The sequence below is a fragment of the Homo sapiens genome, chromosome 7 (assembly GCF_000001405.40).
Source record: "Homo sapiens chromosome 7, GRCh38.p14 Primary Assembly".
Taxonomy (NCBI): Eukaryota; Metazoa; Chordata; class Mammalia; order Primates; family Hominidae; genus Homo; species Homo sapiens.
Window position 1 is genome coordinate 110,864,399 of NC_000007.14, and position 25,535 is coordinate 110,889,933.

The 25,535-nt window shown below is 35.4% G+C and overlaps 1 protein-coding gene across 20 annotated transcripts in view; it reads right to left on the reverse strand.

The window, feature by feature from the left end:
• The window catches only part of IMMP2L (inner mitochondrial membrane peptidase subunit 2), an 899,849-nt gene that overhangs the window by 201,755 nt on the left and 672,559 nt on the right, over positions 1-25,535 (reverse strand). For 13 of the 20 annotated variants that reach the window (NM_001244606.2, NM_001350961.2, NM_001350959.2 and 10 more), the window contains one exon: positions 22,195-22,297. The exons of 5 other annotated variants lie outside the window; for them this stretch is intronic. In NM_001244606.2, coding sequence (NP_001231535.1) covers positions 22,195-22,297 — 103 coding nt within the window. Of the gene's footprint in view, positions 21,417-22,194; positions 22,298-25,535 lie in introns of all 20 variants that reach the window. 2 more of the 20 variants (XM_047420926.1, XM_017012703.2) reach the window with 1 other exon arrangement.

A 25,535-nucleotide genomic window follows, 5' to 3' on the forward strand; every position in this document is an offset into this window, starting at 1 on the left:
GAATATTTTTAAGAGTAATAAAGAGAACTATTGCTGCTACTATTAATAGAAAAATATATTTATAAAGCAAAAATTTGACCAAGCCATCATTTAATAATCACAACTAATGTTCCAAGAATTATTTAAAGAGTATGTTTAGCATCTCTCATGCTCCCTTTTGAAGTTTTCTGTTGTTGTTATCAAAATCACCCTGAAGAAACACAGAGTGCAAAAAGGGTTATTTCTTATTTTTTCTTTTGAATTGTTTTAGATGTAATCATCCTTTGAGCCATCTTTTCATCAAATAATCTCTTTGAACTTCTTACCTGTGTATTGCCATATGCTAGACACGCTGCATGAAATAAACATGCTTTACTTTGAGGCCAATGAACCAATTAAAATTGTCTACTTATGCTATATTCCTAATTTCAAATCAGAAGTCATAATTTCAGGATTCCAAAAACTATGATAACCACTCTCCATTCTAACAAGTCTTTTCTTCCCTGATTTTCTCTTCAGTTTAACAATCCCATGTGCTGTGATCCATTGACTACATCCTTCCTTTTTTAAGTGGCTATGCTCCATTCCATAGATATTTATCTAAATATCTAAATATTTCCCCACTGTCATGCTAGCTACCTGTCTAATATTATTTAGGATGTTCAAATATTTAACTATTCTTACCCACTTTTAACATGTTTTTAATTCAGTATTTAAAATTTGTATATTTAAAGATAAACTTTACCTATTTTCTGTATTATTTGTAAAAGATTATACGTGTCAGGAAGCGCATACATTTGCACACACACACACACTGTAACTATGCTTATTCATTCATTGTTGGGTTTAATAAGTATTAATTGAATGGGTGAAAAGATGGATTCTGACAAACACTAAATTTTAAACATCCTCTAAAAGTAAATAAAATTAAGACGGACTTTTCTGAATATTTTCAAAAAGAAATGTAAATATGTTTCCTGCCTTTCAGCTTTTCCCATCTTGCCTACTCTCCAGTGTTAGCCTTCATTTCGCTCTTACCAACTACATTTCATCAACATTTACTCTGAGTTCTATATCTTAATTATAAAACATTGTTTGAAGCTCTAGCTATGGCTGATATATTTTTACCTTACAAATGCTATTCTCTTGAACTTCCTGCTGGAAGAATCTTAGTAACAGATGGTGGAGCTTCTAGAGATAGATTAAATAAAACAAAACTTTGCATATCAATACAAATCTGACAAGTGACTTAATCACAAAAGACACCCTCCTTCAAAAAACAATCAGGTAGGCAGCACCGATGAACCCCGAGAAAAGAAGTCACTGTAGAGATACCCCTTCTGTATTTTTCCCTATTCATTAATCAAGCAGCATTTAAGACAGCTTTTCATTTTTAGTATTTAACCTGATTTCAGCTCCATTTTTAATGAGGAAAATTATGTAAGAACCCTACCTTTATTCTCCAAACTAATTTTTTTTTTTTGAGGAGAACATGGACATCAGTATACTTAAGTATAGGCTAAAAATTGATACAAAGCAGAACTTCTTCAGAAATTCTCTAGGCATGTCAAAGTACATTCAGGTATTGGGAGCTATAGGAGTAAAAGGATACAGATAAGGCAAAAGTATCTCTGAATAACATTAACTAAAGGATTCTGTCTAGCAAACAGATTTCTATGACCTTTGAGTAATAATTTAAAGACATGATTGACATTTTTTTTCCCATAGCAAAGCCTGATCATAAATCTTATCCTTGAGTATCTATTACATTTGTTGTTTTGGCTCAGGTTTCAGGTTCTTTGCTGTTACTCTACTTTAGGAAATTTCTAATTGGGGTGAAGAGAAGAAAAGATTAAAAGAACTACCAATTTCAGCACGAAGCCTCGGTGACAGAAAGAGAAATGGAGATAGGAATAATCGCATAAAATCTGGTAGTTGGTTGTGGAGATGGGAGTGAGTTTTAAAACAGCACAAAGGCGATGGTTTGAGAACATTCAGATAAGAGGGAAGAGGCAAGCAGAAGGAAGATTTTTAAGCCACAGAGATCAGAGAGGACAGGGTATTCCAGGAACTCAGTACCAACTGGCTTCCCTGTGCCACCTGAGCTCTCTCAGGGTTGCTCTTCCCTCTATTGCTTCACTCTTGGTAGCACATCAGGGCCCATCCTCCCCACTGTGAAACCTCCCTAGTTTAATCTGCTCTTCCTCAGAGTCATAACTCTCCTCCCTAAAATGACAATTTGTTAATCTTAAAAAGTATTCCACGCTTGGAAAAATAACAGTAAAGTTCAAGTTAATTACTCTTTTAAGGATATTTACATTTTACCAAAGGTTTCCGAGAGACACAAAGCCTTGAACCCAAAGGAGTAAATCCCAAATCTTGGGTGTTTGTTATTTAGTGATCTGTTTGTGGAAGATTCCAATGTTTCCTAAATCTAAGCATACACACATAGCTTCAGTTCTGCTTCAGTACTGCCATGGCTGTATTTTACAAAATGTTCAAAGAACACGAAATACATTAAAAGAACCTTAAGCTATAATTACCAATTGCAAACACAGTGGCAGATTTTCACGTACAAAAAATATATATATACCTCAATATACACTATTGGTTAAAGGGAATTTTACACAGATGAAATCTTTTTTATTCACACCATCTTCACTCAATAACTTATCCATATAATTATCACTATGCACTTGTATTAGTCTGCTTGGGGTACCATAATAAAATACCACAGACTGGGTGACTTAAACAACAGAAATTCATTTTCTCACAGTTCTGAATGCTGGAAGTCCAAGATCAGAGTGCCTGCATGGTTAGGTTCTGGTGAGGGCTCTCTTACTGACTTGCTGATGGCTGCCTTCTTGCTATGTTCTCATATGGCACAGAGCTCTGGGGTCTCTGCCTCATCTTATAAGGGCACTAATCTCATCATGAGGGGCTCCACCCTCATGACCTCATTACCCCGCAAAGTTCTCATTTCCAAATATCATTACATTGGGGGTTAGGGCTTCAACATATGGATTTCAGAAGGACATAATTCAGTGCATAGCAGTGAGAAAATGCTGCCCCAAGTCCTTAAGACAATTCTACAATAAAATGTATGAGCAAGAAAGTTTTTAAAATTAAACAACTAAATGTATGAACAATAAAATGTCTTTATGTATGTGGGGACCTGAAAGATGATAAATAACATGACTATTACCAAGAAAAGTCCCACGTATTTTTTTTTTGATAAGTTTCTGTGAATTTAACTACCCTTGAGCATCTCTCTTCTTTGCCCTCATCTCTAGATTTCACCTTGGATCAGGTTGAACAGCAGCACCATTCCCTTAGATATGAAAGCAGCTGCCAATCCAGCTCCTCCAGGCCTTTGTTTGAAAACTCTTTATTTCAGTAGGGGAGCCTCAAGCTCTTACATTTCAAAAATAAGCATGACTACACTCAAATGCCATTCTCTGAAGCTGGTTGATTTCTGAAACGCCTGAATTCATTATCCTCACATGGAGGTTTCTGATGCTGACATTTCTCGGCCTCTCCATGCACTGCTCAGTCATGGTGTTGTCACCCCCAGAGGTCCCCATAGGTCTTTAGGGCTCCAGATAAAAGTAATCAACATAGGGAGCAACAAAACAGCAATTAACTGAAGGCAGCTCACCTTCAGAGAGACGCAAACTCAAGCTTCAAAAAGTTTTTATCTGTAGCTCTTTTTATTCTGAATACCAGGTTCTTGTGAGGTTTGTGTGTGTGTGTGTGTGTGTGTGTGTAACCAAGCTGAAAATTCAGTGATACGGAGAGACAAGCATGACGTATTAGATGAGCAAGACTAACTAAATCAAGCCGAGACAAAGAACACCTGGTGTATATTATTTTGACTAAGGATTTCTTCGTTTTTCTTATTTCCCAAGCCCATTTTTCTGTTTGAAACAAAAGAGGCATGAAATTTATAGATTCAGTAATTACAGGAATAGTAATTATGTTGGATGAAGACAACCCTTTGAGCTAGTTTAGCGATAAGCACCAAAATCAATCACCCCAAGTGTAAAGTGGCACAGTAGGTTATATTTTTATAATTGTGATCATCAAATCCAGGCCCAGAGGCTGGGGGGTTCAAATCATAGCAAATTTATCACATATTTTATTCCAACCTGCTCTAGTCTAATCTAGACATTCATTAAACTTTTGAGTGTCAGGCCCTGGGCTAGGCAAAGGAGACATACACAAAGATTACTAAAACATTTTCTATCTTTAGAAAATCTCTAACAGTGAAAATATGAACTGGCATTGGGCAGGCATTGCTCTGTTTACATAAGAAGTCAGCCAGCAACTGTCTTTAAATGAATAATTGCAATGGGAAGAATACTCCACTAAGCATTGTATCTGGTGCTTTTTACACATACAATTTTCCTTGAATCCACTAGCCTGTCTCCATTATTCTTTCTACAATCTAATCAATTTCTTGTTCTGGAAAACAGCCAGGTTTTAACAGTTCCTGAACTGAATGCAAAAAGAAACCTCTGAAAAAGGAACAAAATTTCTTGAAAAAAATTAAAACAAAAAAAAAAGAGGGAGACTCCAATTATTTTAATATTCTCTTGGAAAAGGAAGCTTTAAGTTTTTCTAACACAAGAATATTTTTCTCTAGAGAATGCTATCACTTTTACCAGGGTGCTCATTTTTACTATATAAATAGTTTCTTCAGCTTTTACTTGGTCATACGCAACAGAAACTGTAATTATTTGTTCCCAGAGTTCAGGAAAATCAACCAGGTAGAATCAATTTCAGGTGGGGCTATTGAAACTTTCTAATAAAATAAAACACATATTTAATTAACACACTCTTTCATTTCTACCATCCAATTTCTAATTAAAAATCTGATTCTGTAAATTCAGATTATTTGAAAATCATCTGAAACTAATTACATTTTTAAAACTCAACCAATAAAAGGGCAGATTATACATAAGTGCAATAGTTGTAAATAAAGTCAATAGAAACGAGAACGTCTAATCTTTAGAATGAAATGTCTTTTTAGTTAGTTCCACTATATCCACCTAATCAACAATTACACACATACGTGCACTTACATACACATACAACCCACTTCCTCAGGCATTCACAACATTATTAAACTGTGTTTAAACAGTATGTGAACACAGACAAAACTATAGGCCCCTATAAGCCAGTGTTTCTTGAGGCATGGCCTGGCCTTGCATTTGAACTGTATTAGTTTCATTTGGGGAATACTTGCTGAAGTACAGCTTCCTGAAACCCACACAAGTTCTACTAAATCAGAATCTCAAGGAAGCCAGAAAATCTCTATTTTTTACAAGCTCCTAAGGTGATTCTAATACACATGAAAATTTGGGAAACAGTGCTATAACATTTTAGTCAGGGACAACAAAGTTTCTATTTAGATACTCAGAATGGGATGAGAAGCTTTGGCTCCATCCTTCTTTCTACTGTCCTAAGATTTCTTTCTTCCCATGGAGATAGTTTTACTACTAGATTTCAGGCCATCCCGTACTAAATTGGACTTTGCCTTTTTAATATCTCTTTGATATCTTGACAAATATCTTGTAGTCCTGCTATTGCCCTGTAGATAAGACAATAATTTCTTTTGGTGTCCCCAGATATTTCTACCATTCTACCCCTCCTCCTAGTTTCAGCCAGCCTGTTCAGCTGACCTATCACAAAAGCTCTGTGCTCTGCCTAAAGGAAACTTTTTATTTGGTCCTGTTTCTCCTTGTTCTGTTTGCTTTGCTTGAATCACCATCTATTTTTAAGGTGATATCCATCTCATCCTCTTTCTGAAAAGTGCATCATGTCAGGAGCCTTCTTCCAATCTCCACTAACCATTTTAAGTGCATTTCATTCTCTTTTTTCCAAAGATGTCAGATGTCCTTCTTGTATACTTTCCACTGACTTCTTATTTCTGAACCAGAAGGCATCGCGAGTGCTAAACTCACTCACAGAACAGAAATTTGTTTATTTATTTAACAAAATGTAGTAGGTGCCTATTATGAGCCAGCCAGGCACTGTGCTACAGCAGTGAACCAAAAGGACAAGGTTCCTGACCTCATGAAGCTCAATTTTCTATTGGAGGAGATAAAAATATAAACATGAATAAAGAAATAAAACAAGATAGTCATAGTAGCTAGAAGCAGGTGTGTGTGAGTGTGTGTGTGTGCACGCGCATGTGTGCGTGTGTTCCATTTTGTTAGATGCACAGAAAAAACTCTTCCCTGAAGTGGGGAAAATAAAGAGCCAACCACACAAAGACCTAAAGGAAGAGAATTCAAGGAAGAGGATCTAGCTAGGACAAAAGGCCTTTCACCTGTTCAAAGAATGGAAAGATCAGAGAGGTGCAAGCACGGAAAGGGAAGAGATGGAGAGGCCATACAATGTGAGGGCCCTAAAGGCCATGGTCAAGGGAATCAGAGAAAACTTAACGCTTTTAATTCTAATAGCAACAGGAAGCCACTGAAGTGTTTCATGTAGGCTAGAGATCGGGTTTGAGGATAACTGTAAGATAACTGCAGCTGCCACAGAGACGCTGACGTTTAGAAGATGAAGAGGGGAAGCATGCAGCCCAGTTAGGAGGCCCCTGATGACCTGAATCAGTGAGGCAGCAGTAGAGATGGAATAAAGCACGTGACTCTAGGACGTTGGTGGAAGAGTAAAAGGCCTTACCAGGCAGTTGAGGGCAATAAAAAGTGAGACCCCAAGGATGCCGCCTAACTTTTTGTCTTGAGTAACTGGGTGGATAGTGCCATCTACTGAAATGGAAGAAATCTGAGGAAAGAAGATGGAAGGAGAAAGGAAGGGAATGAAGAATTTCCTTTTAGACATGTTAAATTCAAGATGTTTCTTGAACATCCAAGTGTGATACCATCTGGAGATACGAATCTGAGCACTGATGCATGAAGACAGCACTTAAAAACACAGGATCAATTTTCTTAGGGAGGGTTTAAGTATGGATGAACATTCAGGATCAAGCTCAGGGGCATGCCAAAATTTAGAAATCTGGCAGAGAAGGATGAAAATGTAAAGGACGCCTAGAAAAAGGACTGGTTATTTGGGTTCAAGGAAGCTAAAAGAAGAACATTCTCAACATATTTTAAAAAGGAAGTGGCCAACCATATCAAATACTGCTGAAAGGCTAAGATGGATATTTGGAAGAGATCACAGGTTTTGGCAACATGAACGTGATGCTGACAAAGAACCAAATAAATGAGTAATCTTTCAGAGCCCAGGTGTTTAGCTGACCTGCAAAAGAAATATTATGGAAGGTAGAAAGGTGAAAAGAAAAAAGAAGGGGATGCAAAGAAAATTCTACCACAGATTCAGAACTTTAATAGTTCTTAATCTAAGATAAACTACAGTGAGACATATATGTTGCAAAAGTATGAAAAACAATATAGTTTTTTTAAGTATGAAATACTATCTGGCACACATACTAAATTTATCTAAACAAAGACCTCAGAATTTAGTAGCACAGGATAACCTATTTATTGCTCCTGATTGAGGAGGCATAGTAGATTTTTAAAAAGACTTATATTTAATTACTTAACAAAGAATAGCCAAGCAAAGTCTACAAATACACTGCTCCTATATACTGCTGCTAGGATCACTTATCTCTCCTCCCTCTCTCATGGCAAAGGCTCCAAACACCAATCTCCTGTTTGTTAAATAGTGCAAATCACCCTTTGTCATTTTAGTTGCACTGAATTTGAATTTGCATAGGTTGCAAGTAGAGAATAGAATCTTGAAGCCACATAAACTAATCACACTTAGTCTTAAAACAGAATATATCGGATATCTAGCCAAACAAAACTGCTCAAGTACCCAATACATATTCTAAACACTTCCACCTCCATGCTTCTGCTACCTGGCTTTCTACTTCTCGAAAGTTACTTTTCCACTTGTCCTTAAGTCGAAATCCTATCTTTTCTTCAAGGTTGAACTGACTAATGCCTTTGAATTCTTTCTTGCTAGATATCACTTCTAAGAACTTCATGATATTGTACCTCTGTCTCTGGCTTTTATACTTTTTACCTTTTATTATATGACATTGTTGTCTATTCTTTTGTCTGCCTAACACCCTGTATTATCTGGGAACAACAACCCCTTTCCCTGTACTGGCATCAACAAGATAAGGTTTCCATGGAGCTGCCATAATTTTTCTATAACGCTGCCCCTAGGCCAGAATTGGTTGGTCTACAGGTAGATACCTGATCCAAACTATGACAACCACAATATTCCAGCCCTTGACAATGATTGACTCTTCCAGGACGGGCACTTAACTCAAGCTAGGCCAATCATAGTCATTTCTCAACTAGATCCTGCCCCACTGGTCATAGCTAATTGGTGCAGGACTGGAACTGGATGCAAGCTGACTCTCTGGATTGAGAACTAGAGGTCAGACCATTCCCTGTCCCATGTCTGAAACTGAAATATGCAGCACTGGAAAACTGCTCATGCTCATGGCCATGGGATCAGCCTTCCCCTTAGCCTCAGAAGGCCTTGGAGTGGAAGCAACAGGTATCTGGTAGGGGTAAATGCCACCTCTTTAGTCTCATGATTGAAACCACCTTCAAAGCACTATTCAATGTTGTCTTTGGAGACAAGTGAAGTGACTTGTGATATTTGGGGGGAGCCCCCACCACAAAAATAATTTCTCTCTCTGCTAGGTGATTTCTTCCATTTTATTATTATTTTCTTTTTATGGTGATGTTGAATTGAGGAGAGATGTTCCTGCTACATTTATTAAAAGTTAAAAGAAAATCCCAGCACCTTGGGAGGCCAAGACATGTGGATCACTTGAGGAAGGCCAGGAGTTCGAGACCAGCCTGGCCAACATAGTGAAACCGTTTCTGTACTAAAAATACAAAAAAAATTAGGCTGGCATGGTGGCGCATGCCTGTAGTTCCTAGTTCCAGCTACTCAGGAGTCTGAGGCACAAAAATCCTTTGAACCAGAGGAACAGGTTTCAGTGAGCCAAGAATGTGCCACACTGCACTCAAGCCTGGGAGACAGAGCAAGACTCTATCTCAAAAAAAAAAAAAAAAAAAAAAAAAAAAAGTTAAAAGAAAGCAGCATTTGTTGGCTGGGCATGGTGGCTCACGCCTTTAATCCCAGCATTTTGGGAGGCTGAGGCGGGCGGATTACCTGAGGTCAGGAGTTCGACACAAGCCTGGCCAACATGGTGAAACCCCGTCTTTACTAAAATTACAAAAAAAAAAAAAAATTAGCCAGGCATGGTGGCACACACCTGTAATCCCAGCTACTCAGGAAGCTGAAGAAGGAGAATCCCTTGAACCCAGGAGGCGGAGGTTGCAGTGAGCCAAGATGGTGCCATTGCACCCCAGCAATGGGCAACAAGAGTGAAACTCTGTCTCAGGAAAAAAAAAAAAAAAAGAAAGCAACATTTGCAAGAGGTGATATTCATCTCTCTGTCTCTCTTTTTCTGTGAAAGGTTACTAGATTTCCTCCTTTTGGGGAGAAGTAGAAAAAATAATTTTGAGAGCAGGAGAGATCTCCCCTCTTAAGGAGGGGCTACTACTTAAGGGGGTAAAAAAATCAGGGGCTGAGAACACAGAATGTATGATGAGTTTTGAAGACAATGTATTTTACTCTAAGCCTACTTCACTTTCAACCAAGTGGAAAGAATATATAGGGTATTTTTTTGTGCATATACAAATGATTTTGTTTTGCATGATTTGTGATGTTTTTGGCTGGCTTTTAAACAGGATTGGAGTAATATAAAAGCACATTAAAGCAGACATATTAGGCAAAGGATCATGGTAATAGTCTCATGGCCATTTGGGGGAATTTCAGGAATTAAAAACAGAGAATGCTGTAAATAACGTTATTAAGAGGGCAGTCTTCCTGAACCTAAAGGATGGGAATAATATATCAATTTTGGGTAGTCTCTATATACACAAGTATATCCTACTTAAATTCTTTCCATAATGGGGCATCCTCTTCATAATCCGTCTTATGATCAAATACCAAATTTACTTTGATGTGACAAAAAAAAGGTATTGTGAATAATGAACTTCAAAAGAAAGAGCAGTGAGATGGTTAGGGGTAATCATAGGGTGGAGAAGAATATAATAAAATTTCACATTAATATAATATTATTATACCAAACATATAATAGTAGGAAGATTTTCTTGCAATAAAACAGTAGTTCAAATAATGTTCTTCCATCTAAAAAAATACTTCTTAAGGTGGTTGCTTTCTTTAAATTAAAATATAGAGAAATATTATGTGACTATAATAACATCAGAACTTACTCTTTAAAATGTACCTAAAGTTCTTTATAAAATATACTACTGTGACTCAACAGTGTAATACTGTCTTAGTCTGCTTGTGCTGCTATAACAGAATGCCACAGATTGGGTAATTTATAATAAAAAATATATTGACTCACAGCTTTAGAGACTGGGAAGTCCAATATTAAGGAACCAGCAGGTTTGATGATTCTGATTTCAAGATGGCACCTTGAATACTGCATCCTCTAGAGGAGAATACTTTTTCCACACAGAGCAGGAGGCAGAAGGGCAAAGAGGAAAAAGGGGACTGAAGTCACCCTTTTATAAGGCATTAATCCCAGCCATGAGGGTGGAATCCTCATGGCCTAATGACCTCTTAAACATCTGACCTGGTAATACTGTTACAATGGCACTTAAATTTCAACATGAATTTTGGAGGGGATTCAAAAAGTCACAAATACTACTTGAAAAAATATAACGGTTTAACCAGTAATGCCCATCTGGGCAAAAAAGCTATTTAAGTACCATGCACTTTGATGAATGACGTTTAAAATAGCCTTCCTCATTTTATACTATTACTTTTCAGTCAGTGCAGGATAACACATTAAATCTAAAAACAATGGCCCAGTGAAACCAAGCTAGTAGATTTAAAGAATCCATTAATTTAATGGTAATTATCATTTCCTATTCAGCACATATATTTTCTTTGTTTGAAAGACTATGCTTTGTTTTTGTGTTTGTGTTTTTTTTGTGACAGAAGAATGCAATACAGTGTTTTAAAAGACTCTGTACCAAATATTTTGTGAAGTAGAATTTCTCCTTGACTAGAGTCTACATAATTCCATAATGACTTGTAGAAATGACATAATTTATAATCTCATTAGGTTTTTGTGAAATGAAACAATTTATATGAACAACCCAAATATAATCATGGCTAATTTGAGAGGAATGTTTCATTTGCCTGCAGCTTCCCAGCAAATACTAGGCAGACAGAGTTTAAAGCTTCAGTGGGGAATAGGCAGAAGCATTTCACAAAAAGGAAGATTTAAGCAGCTTTGAAAATGGTTTGGTCGAAGCTCTTCAACTGTAAATAAAATCACTGGAGGTCTAAGTAAAACTTCAGCCTAATGTAGTTGTCAGTCTAAGTAGGTCCTAGTTAATGACTATTATTTTTATGAAAATCAGGCTTAGTAATCAAAAAAGTTCAATATTCCACAACTTGATGAAGCCTTATAGTTTCCCCTTTCTTTCCACTGAGTACGTCCTAATTTAAATTGACAATATCAATATACTTATTTTAATACAGTAACTTCATTTAAAGGGGAGATGAATGTAACTTGAAAGTAGTGTGAACATTCTATATCATTTCTTCAAAAAAACGGATACATTTCTTTATGAAAATATTTTTAATTAAAACATTTATTTACAACTTCCCACAATGTGTTGATGTATTGAAAATATTTTAATTTTGAAAAATATATATTTGTGTACGTTTTAAATAATAATGACAAAGAAATTTTTAAAACATGCTTTTCTATCAGATGGTTTACCAAAATATTCGCCCTTCTATGTTTCCTTCTTTTAGCCTCTACATTCTGGGAATTGTCTATACCTTTTGAAACATGCGAGAACTTTACCAAAAAAGAGTAGAAAAGGCTGGTGAAATGAGTGGGGGGTTAGTTGACATGGATGCTAAGTGTAACAGAATGGAACTTTGACACTTTGATGGAATATTTGCCTATAAGCTTAAGGAGTCATGAACAAGACTGGATTGCCACTCCCAATGTCAGGGACAAAAATCTAATCATTACCAGGCAGCACAATTCTCATCAGGTAGCCAAGACTGCTGCTCGTGCTTAATTTTAAGGTTTGACCCACCAGAGATAAGCATGAAGTTAGTTCAGTATTCCAGCTGGTGAATTTCTCTGACAGATGTGGTGAGTTAATACGAGGGAGCAGAATCTAACAGACATCAAACCAATTATTGGTTCCTAAGGACTCTTATGAGTCAATCTACTTCATATTTTTATTACTACCACCTTTGCCTAATGCCTAATCATCTCCCATTTGAACCAATAGTATTATCAAATAATTGCATTTTCTACCTATATCCCATTTCCAATCTAATCTTTCATTCATAATTTTCCCAAACCAGTCTTGCCAGGATACCTCTCATAACTTATTACTCTCCTGTTCCAAAATGTAAACGGCTTTTTAGTCCCTTCTAGATAATGTTCAAATTTCTGACTTTCCTATTAACAGCCAGACATAATCAGTCCTAAACTAATCTTTCTAAAGTTATCTATTACTAATTCACTAGGGTCAGAGGTTGGCAAGCTTTTTAAATAAAGAGCAGATAATAAATATTTTAGGATTTGTGGGATATAAGTCTCTCTTGCAAGTACTTAACTCAGCCGTTACAGAGGGAAAGCAGCCATAGTCAATATGAAAGCCAGAGTGTGGCTGTGTTCCAACATAACTTCTTTTATACAGAAATAGGAATGGGCCAGATTTGGTTCAAGGGCCATATTTCACTGAACCCTGTTCTAGATGAACCTTTGCTGTGCAGAAATTGGCCATTAGCTGTGTCATGAAACAGCTGTTAAACTCTGTTCCCAGTTCTGGGCTACAGGGATACAAGGATGAGTTAGCTCCCATAGTTGCCTTGGCAAAGTTCACAGTCTTTTCACACACAGAATCACTGTGCAATTATACTGCAAATGCTGTGTGGGGTAACTGGCTTAGTCAGAAGCAAAACTTCATGTTAGAGTAGGTCTGGGAGTAGTCATTGTCCAGATTAAGGTGGGCAGGCACAAGATAATGAAAGGGAGAAAAAAATGACAGCCTGTGCCAAAATACAAAAATGCAAAACCAAATGGTGAATTTATGGAATGATCAAGGCATAGGCAGGTAAGACGGATCTGGAAAATTTGGCGGGAGACAGGATCAAAAGGGTTTGACTGCCCTGCTAATGACTTTACACTAGCTATTTTGAGCCAGACTGCGCTTAGGCCTCGGCAAGAGGCACTACTTTTTTGGTGCCTGTGTTTTTGAGAAACCTGCACATCACAAGTTTTACAAAAATTAAGTTTATTAAAGAACACATGGGTCCCTATGCCAATCAAGATCTGGCATTCAGCACTAGCAAAGTGTGACATTCTAACTCTGATTATTCACCAGGTATTTACTCATAAAAAACTAACACCATTAAGGACCCAGACATATGTTTTTCCATATATTTTATACTCTAAAAATAAAAAACAAAAAACAAAAAGCACAATGGATTGATTCCAAATGCCATGAAACTTCACCAGTTGATCACAGGCAGGATTTCAGCCATCTAAGCACTTAGCTTAGAAGTGCCTAGAAGAAGGAAATTAAATGACCTGACAAGCTTTCTCAGCTTGGAGGCCACAGATTCTTGTACACTCAGTATCATTTGCCAGTAGCTGAGTGCCCCTGTCCTGTTCTTTCTGCTCTTCATGTTTCAACTTGTGATTCTAGAATTCTAGAGATACTCAGGAAAACACAATATTCACCACAGTTGTGCATGGTGACAGAGGAAACATTTGTGACTACTTAAATTTACATGTATGTAGTTGAGGGTATGAAATGCATGGAGCATGATACTCTTTACATTGACAAGCACGTAGAAATTGAACCCTCAAACCTATGAATAGATTTCCTTTCATAAAAATATGTAATAAAATGTAATTAATTCTTTAAATACTTACAAATTCAGTTCTATTTAAATAATTTTGATGTAATTTTATGTTAATATTTATATTTTGACTTTTGGTTTGAAAAGATACATTTTGATATTTTACAAAAAATCTTTTGGAAAGACTTGAAAAAATTTACTTTTAAATTTTTACACTTATTTTCATCTACATTTTCATTAACATATATTTAAATTATCTATACTAAATACAGTTAAATATTATTTTAATCCTTCATATCATTCACTGTTGTCAATAGAATGCATATCATGTGAAAATCTTGATTATAACAACATAGTGATTGCTGAAATGGAGGCCAGAAAAAAAATGTAAAAATGTATTTTAAAAAACTGAAAAATAACAGCTTGGAATTTTCATTTAGAATATATATGTAATTTAACGCTTATGTATATTTTAATTTTATTACTCTTCCAAACATCACAGACCTTTCAACAGAATACTCAAGTGTGTAATAATAATTAAATTCAGTCATCTTTGCTGGTTTTAGCCATATGGAGGTATATTTATCAAGTTAGGAAAAGTAACATATTTCATTTAACAGTTTGCTAACTTAATTTATAGTTAAATGTTAAATATTTAGACATGTAGTATTTAGACCTCCATGCCTTAGGCCTCACATATATTAGGGGACGATCTAATATTTATAAGTAATGTGAAGTCACTGATGTCAACTTTTAATATTTTCACTTATGCAGTTATGAGAAACAGTCTGTTATAGCAGGCGCGGTGGCTCATAGTATAATCCCAGCACCTTGAGAGGCTGAGGTGGATGGATCAATTGAGGCCAGGAGTTTCAGACCAGCCTGGTCAACATGGTGAAACCCTGTCTCTACTAAAAATGCAAAAATTAGCCTGCTGTGGTGTGCACCTGTAATCCCAGCTACTTGGGAGGCTGAGGTAGGAGAATCACTTGAACCCAGGAGGCGGAGGTTGCAGTGAGCTGAGATTGTGCCACTGTACTCCAGCCTGGGTGGAAGAGCGAGAATCTATCTCAAAAAAAAAAAAGGAAGTATTATTTTATATTTTATACATAAAAAGATAAAGCATAATGTAATGAACATCTGTATGCTCCCACTCTGCTTCAGATATAAGTACTGTAACTTGGTGTCTTTGTATACTCACTCTTCCCCAATAACATTCATTCTCATCTTTTCCAGAGGTAACCAATCCTGAATTTTTTACTGCTATTTTAAATGGCCAATTCTTTAAAAGTATGTTTTCTATTTCTTGATATCTAGTCATGTTTCACCATGTATATAATAGCTATTATACTACTAAGTTTGCATAATTGTCTTAATAGTTCTGCAGATTCCTCTTGGGACTTCTAAGAAGGCAATATCATACTTACAAAAAATAACAGTTTGGAATCTTCATTTCCCATTCCTACATCTTTTATTTCTCTTTCTTGACTTAATCTGCACTGGTAATGACCTTTAGCATAATGTCAAATACAAGTGGTAAGAGAGGGCTTTCTTGCCTTGTTTCTTTATTGAATATACTAGGTACTGTAGGTTGATAATATTGTTGTTAGGAAGCAAAATAATGTGATCAGGATTCTTTTCAGAAAAATCATTAGTGACAGAAATATCTGTTGGAGCAGAATTCTTTAGGAGTCATATTACAAAAATAACTTCTATTTAATGGGAAAGTCATGGGGCCTGTGATGACCTATCAATAGAATACACATTATGGCTCTGATTCTGATGGCTATAGTAAAAAACTGCATTTTTGCTTACTTGATTCACCAAGTTAGACAAATCTTAATATACCAAAAACTCACATGAGTCTTACTATGAATAATGTCTAAAAGTGTAGTTATCATGATTCACTACAGGGTCCATTTATGGCTCCTTTATGCAAAAAAGATCACCCACGTTACTCAAAATCAAACTGATCTTTTTCAAATACAACCAATAAGATACTGACACAGAGCAAAGTCTTTTTAAAGATTACCCAACAAGTTTTCAGAAAATTAAAAATTTCCAAAAAAAGCTGTCTTCCAGCTCAGTCAAAAGAACGTTATTTACGTAGTTTGGTGTTTGCAAAGTTATTTACATAGCTTGCTATTTATTAAAAGAAGTGGAGAGTAAATAATTACCCATCAAATATTTTATAAGTATATATCCATGTAAATGAGGCAATTTAATCTCAAACTTTGAATCTCAATATATTCAATAGTAGACTTTTTTTGTCTTATGGGCGCCTCATATTTTCCATTTTATTTTTCTATGTACACTCAGTTATGTAGGCACCAATTACATCTTACAAGTAAAATAAAGGCTTCAACCTCACTTTAAAAAAAATTCTAAGCACTTATGAAATTGCTAAATTAATAACCCCTGCATATGTTTCACTAAATCTTGGCTCCTGACCTATTATCAGTAAATATATATTTCTAATAAAATGAATGTGTTTAATTCTGTAATTAAACGGCCCAAAGGAACAGTATCTGTGATAGCAATGAAGTCTAATGACAATTCTGCTGACATTCTTCTATCTAAAAATGAAATCATGTGGAAAATGATTTCTACACTAGCAGAATAATTAAGACATAAGACAAAATTTGATTTGGTAGGAATGGAAGCTAAGACTGCCTCTTCTCTTGGGGAGATGGGTGACATTATTTATTTCACCACCATATTATGTTTCCAAGCTCTCTTTTTAAAATCATATATATTTTTTTCATGTCTTAATTACAGCAACAAATCCAACAAACAATGAAGCTAATCTTGAGGGACTTTCTGTTTCATTTTACTGCATGGACATTTCTTGGTGTTGAACACAGCTTCTGAGAATGGGCTCTCTTTTGAGACTTAGTTATCTTTGGTTACACAAATATTTTCATTATAATGGTATCTCCTTTAAGTGGCTTTGATCTTTTTATGAGATGTATGCCTTTGTCTATACCAGTCAAATGAAAATTATATCTAGGTAAAGCATGTGAGGTTGCCAGGTTCCAGCACTGTTTATGGGAACCATGAGAAACATTTGATGAAAAACCACAAGGTAAGGCTTTATGACTTATTAACAAAAACCATAAAACTATTGTTACCAATATTTTTCTATAAAATACAGATTATTTTAGTTCCTATCAAAATTTTCTAAAGAATAAGCATGTACTACAAGCAACAAGAAAATATAACCAATTAAAGTCTAAGCACCATTTTTTCAAAGAAAGTGTGAAGAGAATACTTCATTTGGATCCTGTCAACACTGTCTAATGACCTTTTTTAAAATTTGAAATGGCTGATTTTAAATAAAAGCTATTCTAGCTGCTCTAGAGAAGTTACACAAGGAAAATGCTACAATTCGACAATAAAAAATGCAATGAAAATTCATTCTCGTGTATCACAAGATTATTCTGTATTGTACAGGCAGAATATTTTCAATGCAGCTGAAACCCATTAACCACTCTAGGCATAAATCACTTCATTCACAAAACATACAGCATCTAGAGTGCTTTATGTAATGCAGGATTTTTACCAAATAGTTATTTTCACTGATTTCAGAACACTCTGTTCTACCAAATCCTCCTGGGAGATTTCATGGGTTTTCATACACAAATGCTCTACTTCTCGAAGAGGCTCTCTCATACCCCCATCTAGAGTATTTGCTACAATGTGTTGTGAAGGACTGATTGTCTCCCTCCCTTCCATCCTTCCTTGAGAGTGGGGATTAGACCCTAGTACTGGTAGCATCTATTGACCCTCTTACCTGCCCCTTCTAGGCATCAGGTTATGTTTTAATGCTTAGTGATAGTGGCAAAAGAATTCAGAAGGCTCACAGGTTCAGTGCACTCATTATTATCTATGACCTGAATCTCTGTCCTTAAAATCTCTGACTACTTTAAACATTTCCCAAAACTCAGTCCCAATTCCTCTCTTTGTCAAGTGCCTTCCTTCCTTCCTTCCTTCCTTCCTTCCTTCCTTCCTTCCTTCCTTCCTTCCCTCCTTCCTCTCTCCCTCTCTCTCTCTCTCTCTCCCTCTCTCTCTCTCTTTCTTTCTTGACAGAGTTTCTCTGTTGTTTCCCAGGCTCCGGTGCAATGGTGCAATCTCAGCTCACTGCAACCTCCACCTCCCAGGTTCAAGTGATTCTCCTGCCTCAGCCTCCCGAGTAGCTGAGATTACAGGCATGTGCCACCACACCCAGCTGATTTTTGTGTTTTTAGTAGAGACAGGATTTCACCATGTTGGTCAGGCTGGTCTCGAACTCCTGACCTCAGGTGATCCACCCGCCTCGGCTTCCCAAAGTGCTGGGATTACAGCCATGAGCCACCATGCCCAGCTGTCAAGTGCTCTTAATATAAAAAGTCCCATTCTTTCATCCTTCCTGCAACTCCAAGAATCTACTGTTTTTTTTTGTTTTTTCTTTTTCTTTTGTTTTTTTTTTAACCAAAGAAGCATTATATAGGGGAAAAAATCAAAACAGGTATGACTAGATACTAAATTGCTTAAAATGTCCATTTCCCACATATATTATAGAATCTAGTAATCTCTGCCTGGTTACATGTAACTCTTATTTCTCCTGACGCATCCCACCCATCAGGTTCCACAAGCCAATATCCAGGTGGGCAAATCACAGGTGCTCAAAAATGTGTCTTGAAGGCATAAATGAAAAGCTTCGCATGATTTAAAAACATAAAGTTTACTTTTTCTCCTTTACTTTTCACTGGTTTTTAAAAAGTGAACATTTTTTTGCGCTTTATAAACTTCAAAAAGAATTCTATGGAATTTTAATATTCATGTTTCATACTTTTCTAAAGACATAAACTTTACTTTTCTACTTTACTTTTCACTGGTTTTTAAAACGTGAAAAATTTTTTGTACTTCATAAACTTCAAAAGGAATTCCATGGAATTTTAATAATTCATTTTCCACAGTTGTCTGTTTATCATCACTTTCAGACCACCAGTTCATTTCATTAATAAATAATAGTTCTAATGCTCATTTATTGCTAAAACTATCATCTCCTATTAGGCATATTTCCTTCACAAAACACTCTAGGGGGCTAATGTTTTATCTAATAAGGTATCAATGAAAAAAGTGATTGAATTAGCTCTTTTCCAAATGACTTGGAACTAAAAAGAACTCATATTCAGTATAACTTGAAGTTTCCATTCTTAGAAAGAGGCACTCTATCATAAATAGTTTCTGCCTCTGAATTATTCAGTTATGTTTCATATTCCCTGCATACAAATTGTTCACAAGGTCACACTATGATCACAAACCTAAAAATCAAAATACATTTATACATCTTAGAAAGGTTATGTTTGCCTTGAAATGTATAAGCCAAAAGTTCTTCTTCTAATGTCCTTTGGTCAAAGTAGCTAAAATAAATTATATATTTTAGGTGTTAAATAAATAAATAATTTACTTTAGATTTATTTTTAGATACTAGAATTTCACAATTCACTATGCAGGAAACAGTGAAAGTATCTCAGTTGCTCTCAATTTAAAGCTAGATAAAAATGATAGAAAAACTTCAAAGTGGAAAGTGTACAAGCTAACTGGAGGCCATAGAAAGAATCACATTTGTGTTTTCAGTAAATGGAACATATTATCTAGGAGAACAGTTCAAATATAATTACTAAAATTAATATTTATAATAAATGAAAGAATTGCTGCAGGCATTTTTAATTGAAGAGTCAATTGAAGAGTCTGTCAGTGTGAAGTAGTTAAAAATCACTATTAGAAATGTCACAGTTATATATACATACAAATACAAATACAAAATTTACTTTTTATGTGCTTCCATCTTAAAGCAAGCAGAAAATTTGTCACTATCTGCAATAATCAGTTATTTTGTGTGCTGGTGAAGAACATCATGGCTACAATAGAAAATGTATTTATCTACACAGAAGTAGGTGTTGTAAAGGAAAAGACACTAATTTCTTTCACAGAGAAAGAAATTACTGAGAGAAATGCTTAGAAAATATTCTAAGCAACTATAAAGCAACACATTAGAATCACCATGTCTTTATGATATAATCCAGTAAAATCCAGTAGTAATATGCACTGAACAACACTACCAGACAATTATCACAATTTTAAAATAAACTTATGAAAGATATTTATCACACTAGAAATGCAAACTAAAGTCGTAAATTGGCAAATCCATATCATGGGACGATAGGACATTTTCCATCATTGTGCAATGATCATATACTCAAGAGGGTTAGCATAAAGATATTTCACAGAGACATCACACGCAATGGAAACATTTCATACCCAATCATATCTGTGATGAGAGAGACATAAAATGGCTTTTAGGTAATCTTTTTCACTTGCGAGTTGCTACAAACTTTGTCACAAGAGACACTTCTATACTGTAAGTGACCTAAAACATTTCCAATCTGTTTATTTCACCTTTAGTATACCTTACAAAAATTAGATTATATTTTTGTAATAATTACTATTCAAAAGCAAGAGAAGGCCTTAGTAGTATTTATTATCATCATTGCAACTAGAAAAAAAAGAAGTAGGAGTAGTTTCCTAAAGTCATCTTCCACACAATTATATATGCTTATCCAACTCTAGCTCTATTACTGTACTGTCAGCCAAAGATGAGTCAAAGTGGCTGCTCCATTAGTGACAGCAGGAGTGTGCCCTCATACTATGTGAAAGAAATTATTTTATTAGAGACCACCGACATTAAATTTTAGAAAAAAACTATATGGATAAAATTTTTTCACAAACATATCTAAAGGTATTCAATATTAACTTATACAAGTTGAATATCCCTTATCCAAAATACTTGAAACCAGAAGTATTTCAAATTTTGGATTTTTTTTTTATTTCGGAGTATTTGCACTATACTTACTGGATGAGCATATCTAATCCCAAAATTTGAAATCCAAAATACTCCAATGAACATTTCCTTTGAGCATCATATTGGTGCTCAGCAATCTAAGAATTTTGGAGCATTTCAGATTTCAGACTTTTGGATTGGGATGCTCAACTTATATATACGTTAAAAAGTATAGATATGTCTGCCTTTAGGAAAATGTAATGAGTGAAGATCCAAGCTTTTAAACACACTAGATAATGAGAAGCAGGTGTAGTGCCAGTTAACTCAAAGATTCTTCACTTTATATTATAAGCTATTGCAGGGATTCATAAATACAGACTTTCTGTATACATTCAACATGAAAAAACCCACAAAATACCAGTTTAGTCTCAATTCTATGGAGTACAAGCATGGAATGAGGAACGTCTGCATTTCTACTATACACTCAATGCTTCTAACATTCTACTTATAACGGGTGACAGATTTATGCCACTCCAAAATATGCCACTTTGACGTAAGGATTACTTTAAGCTAAAGGCACTTGACAAACAGCAGATGTAAGAAGGGCATTCTAATCTTTCCCTTTTCTTCCTGAAAGCAGGAGATACAATTTTTCATGTGAAAGATGCCTTGCCTGTACCAGGAGGAAAAAAAAACATTATTCCATGGGAAGTCATGGCAGGGGGCGCAGAGGGGCTTCTGTACAAACACACCTTGTTAAAATGTGTTAAAATAATTATCTTCCTTTAGCCTCACCACATAATTTAGTCACATTTCCACAATTAGGTCTCTTTGTTCAATCTAACATAAAAGTATGTACGTTTTTCCACCTATTGGGTCTTCATTTCTTTATGAGGGCTCCTGCGCCACCTAAAACTTATTTTAAATTTGTTTGCTTTTCTCCTATGACTCTGTCTTATGTCAAATTAATTCTCAGGCCCAGCTGGGACCCTAAGAGGGTAGAGGTAAAGTTTGCTTCCTGTACATTTACCAATATGATTTCTATTACACTTGCATTTTAAACTAATGATTTAGAAAACTGATGCCTATAGGTCTTGTACACATTGTCTGCTAAACATCAACTGAAAATATAAGCTACAAAGTATTCCCGTGGGAGAAAAAAAAAATCTTCCAATTTGGAATAAGGTAGTTGGCCAAAAGCATTTTTTGGTACTTTGTTGAAGTGTCTGAGTTTTTTTTCTAAGAAACACACGTGCACACACATACCTACATACACACTCTGATAGTGTACCTTATCTATGATACTTAAAAGGAAATTTTCAAACATAAACTATTCCAGTATAAATTTCATGATCAGTCTTGGCTGAGTTACCTGAATAACCTATCTGACATAGTTTTGTTCTCACCTTTGAAATCCAATTACATCAACAAGAAGATAAAAGATGACTTACCGGCCCAAAAGAATTACTGTCAAAACTGTGTCCATGATGATCACCTTCAACCCAGATGTGACCACGGGGGACTTTGACATACCGGTTTTTGTGTCCTATGGTTCTGGAAATAAACAGTGTAACCACTGAGATATGAGTAGAAAAGAGATCAAACTGCTGGGCATACAAACTTAGGAATGGTGAAAATATTATATAGATGTTACAGACAGGTTAACCATGAAGCTTCTCCATAATTTCATTTTTAAGGAAGATGTGGTTAGAGCAATTTGAATCTATTCATAGCATTTTTTCTTTTTATATTTCTATAGGTAAGAATTTTGTGCTTAGATGAAATGTATTGGCACTAAATATAATGTGTTGTTATTTAATAGAATTCACAGTATTCTAAATATGTATTTATGAAATCCGGTAAGCCCTAACAAAATATAGATCTATTTGTTTTTTTAACATTTGCTTTTAAGTCAATATTCAACTTTTTCAACTGATTCATGCACAACTACAGTCTTCATTTTTTTCGGTCAAACTTCTCAAACCAATAGACAACACTTTTCATAACCTCTTAATACTCTAAATTTTAGCATAAGTAAGAAATAAAGGAAAGAACATAATCTGAATAACTTCTTGTTAGATACAAACTATCAGTATCAGTTGAAAATTTTTAACCAGCACTAAAGTATTCCTAAAAATGAAATTTTTTTAACAATTGTGAAGACTAAAGATCGATGATACACACGTTGCAAAACATTCTATATTAATGTTGGCAAGGAAATGGACTAAGAAAAGGCTATCTCACGCAGTTTTTGTAGCAATGTATAATGGTATAATGTTTTTCCCTATACTTCCATTTTAGGCCAATTTTTGGTACAGTTTTAAGATACTAAAATGTTTATGCCTCTTGACTTAGTTATTCTACTTGTAGAAATCCATTTGAAAAATAAAATCGGAAATATAGACAAATTTATTCATTACAAGGGGTGTTCAAACAAGGCTTTTTATAGCAAAAAAAAAAAAAATAATTTACCTAAATATTCAACAACACAGAATTGGTTCAATAAATTATGATACAACCAACTAAACGAAAGAGACAGGCTTACAATAAAATATTATCCTAATCCCACAATAAGAAGTTATTTTGGGGCAGAGACTGCTTTTTTTTTTTTCTCTCTTTTATCCCCTAAAAAGCTCAGGAAAACGCCTGGCCTAAAGAAGCTTCTCAGTAAGTGTTGGCTGAATGAAGGAATGAATAAATATCACCTCCAAGGCTGCAGAGTTCAGAAATTGAGCTTGGCATACATACTGTTCTTTGAGGTGGTGTCCCTTTGAGACTATTTTTATTAGTTAGCAATTTGTATGTGTGCAGAATAATGTATTTTAAAAAACTAAACATAAATTGGTGCTACAGAAACTGAAACTATTCATTATCTAGGATGGTTTTTAATTTTCAAGATAATTTCAGTGTTGAATTACTTTACTTTAGATCAGTAAATCATTCATGCAACGAAGCAATATTGTGGCTGTTAGAAAAGCCCACAGTAAGTTAATGACTGCTGTTTATTTTTAATTACTATTGCGAAGAAAGTTTTCAGCTTTTTAAAGAAAAGTGAAAAACAAGTTGAACACATCTTACCATCATATACTCTGTAATATAAGTGTTCTTCAATTAAAATCAGTCAATTAGTTCCTGACATCACTACAGCTTTTATTATTAGATTGCCTCTAAGAACTAATATTCTACATGAAATGTTAATGACAAAGAGAATATCCTTTTACTTAATTGTTGGCAAGGCATACTCTCCAAATCAGTCCAAACGTTTGTTCACCTTATTAAGCTGGGTATTCTGGATAAATGCTCAGAAAGAAAACAATTACCAATTTTGTCTCTTCAAATAACCATTCAAGAATTACAAAGGAAAACCAGCATAAAATCATTTCTGCAGTGACACGGTGAGTTTTAAATCAAGCATATTCCAGAAACCAGAAGAGTGATATGAAACCAAGATTGAGTTTTAATGTCATATAAGCCAAGATACTTGTGATAGAAAGCAACAGCATCATAAAAGACCAGTGACAGTTACACGTTTCCTTGCACTGACCGTCTTATCTGAAAAATTTAAATATAGCCTTTATCCTGTTATTTTCTAGCTGCTTACAGTGCTTTATTTTTCTTTTCTGAGCCTGCTAACACTTGATATACATTTATGGGTTTGTTTGTTTATTTTTTATGTCCCTCCACTAGAATGCAGTCTTTGGAACTTTGCCTTATTTGTTCATAAGAGTATCCCCAGAGCCCAGAACAGACTACACAGAGTGCTCAGTAAACATTTGTTAAATGAATGACCAAATGAATGAATATCTGAAGAATAAAAAATACTGCCATAAAGGCAGAATAATAGAGTGGGAAGTACATAGGTTCTGGAAACAGACTAAACCAGTTTTAATTTTGATACGATTACTCACAAGTAATCTTTTGCAAGTTACTTAGAGTTTCTACCTCTATTTGCCCATCTTTAAAGTGGGACAAGACATACCCTAACTCAGCAGTCCCCAGCCTTTTAGGCAGTAGGGACTGATTTAATGGAAGACAATTTTTTCATGGACCAGGGTGGATGGGGGAAGGTTTTGGCATGATTCAAGCACATTACATTTATTGTGCGCTTTATTTCTATTATTATTACATTGTAATATATAATGAATCAATTATACAACTCACTATAATGTGGAATCAGTGGGAGTCCTGAGCTTGTTTTCCTGTAACTAGATGGTTCCCTCTGGGGGTGATGGGAGATAGTGACAGATCATCAGGTATAAGAGTGTCATAAGGAGCATGCAACCTAGATCCCTCACATGCGCATTTCACAACAGGGTTCATGCTCCTGTGACACTTTAATGACACCACTGATTTGGCACGAGGCGGGGCTCAGGCAGTAATGAGAGCAATGGGCAGTGGCTGTTAATACAGATGAAGCTTCCCTTGCTGCTCACCTCCTGCTGTGCCGCCCAGTTCCTAACAGGCCACAGACCAGTACCAGTCCGTGGCCTGGGGGTTAGGGACTCCTGCCCCAACTGGGCTGAAACGAAGGTTAGTAGTTGGATGAAAATATAATGGAAAGATTGTTATACAACATAGTCTCTGGAGCCAGCCTATCTTGGCTTTTGTATCTTACTTAACATTTTCAAGCTTACATGATCTGCACAAGTTGATGAAACTCTGTGTCAGTTTCCTCAGTTACACAGCTGGGCAAGTAACAATACCTAACTCAAAAAGTTATTCTATAGATAAAAGTGGCATATATTAAACACTTGATAAGTGGATTCTCTTGTAGTTGAGACTGTTTTTAATT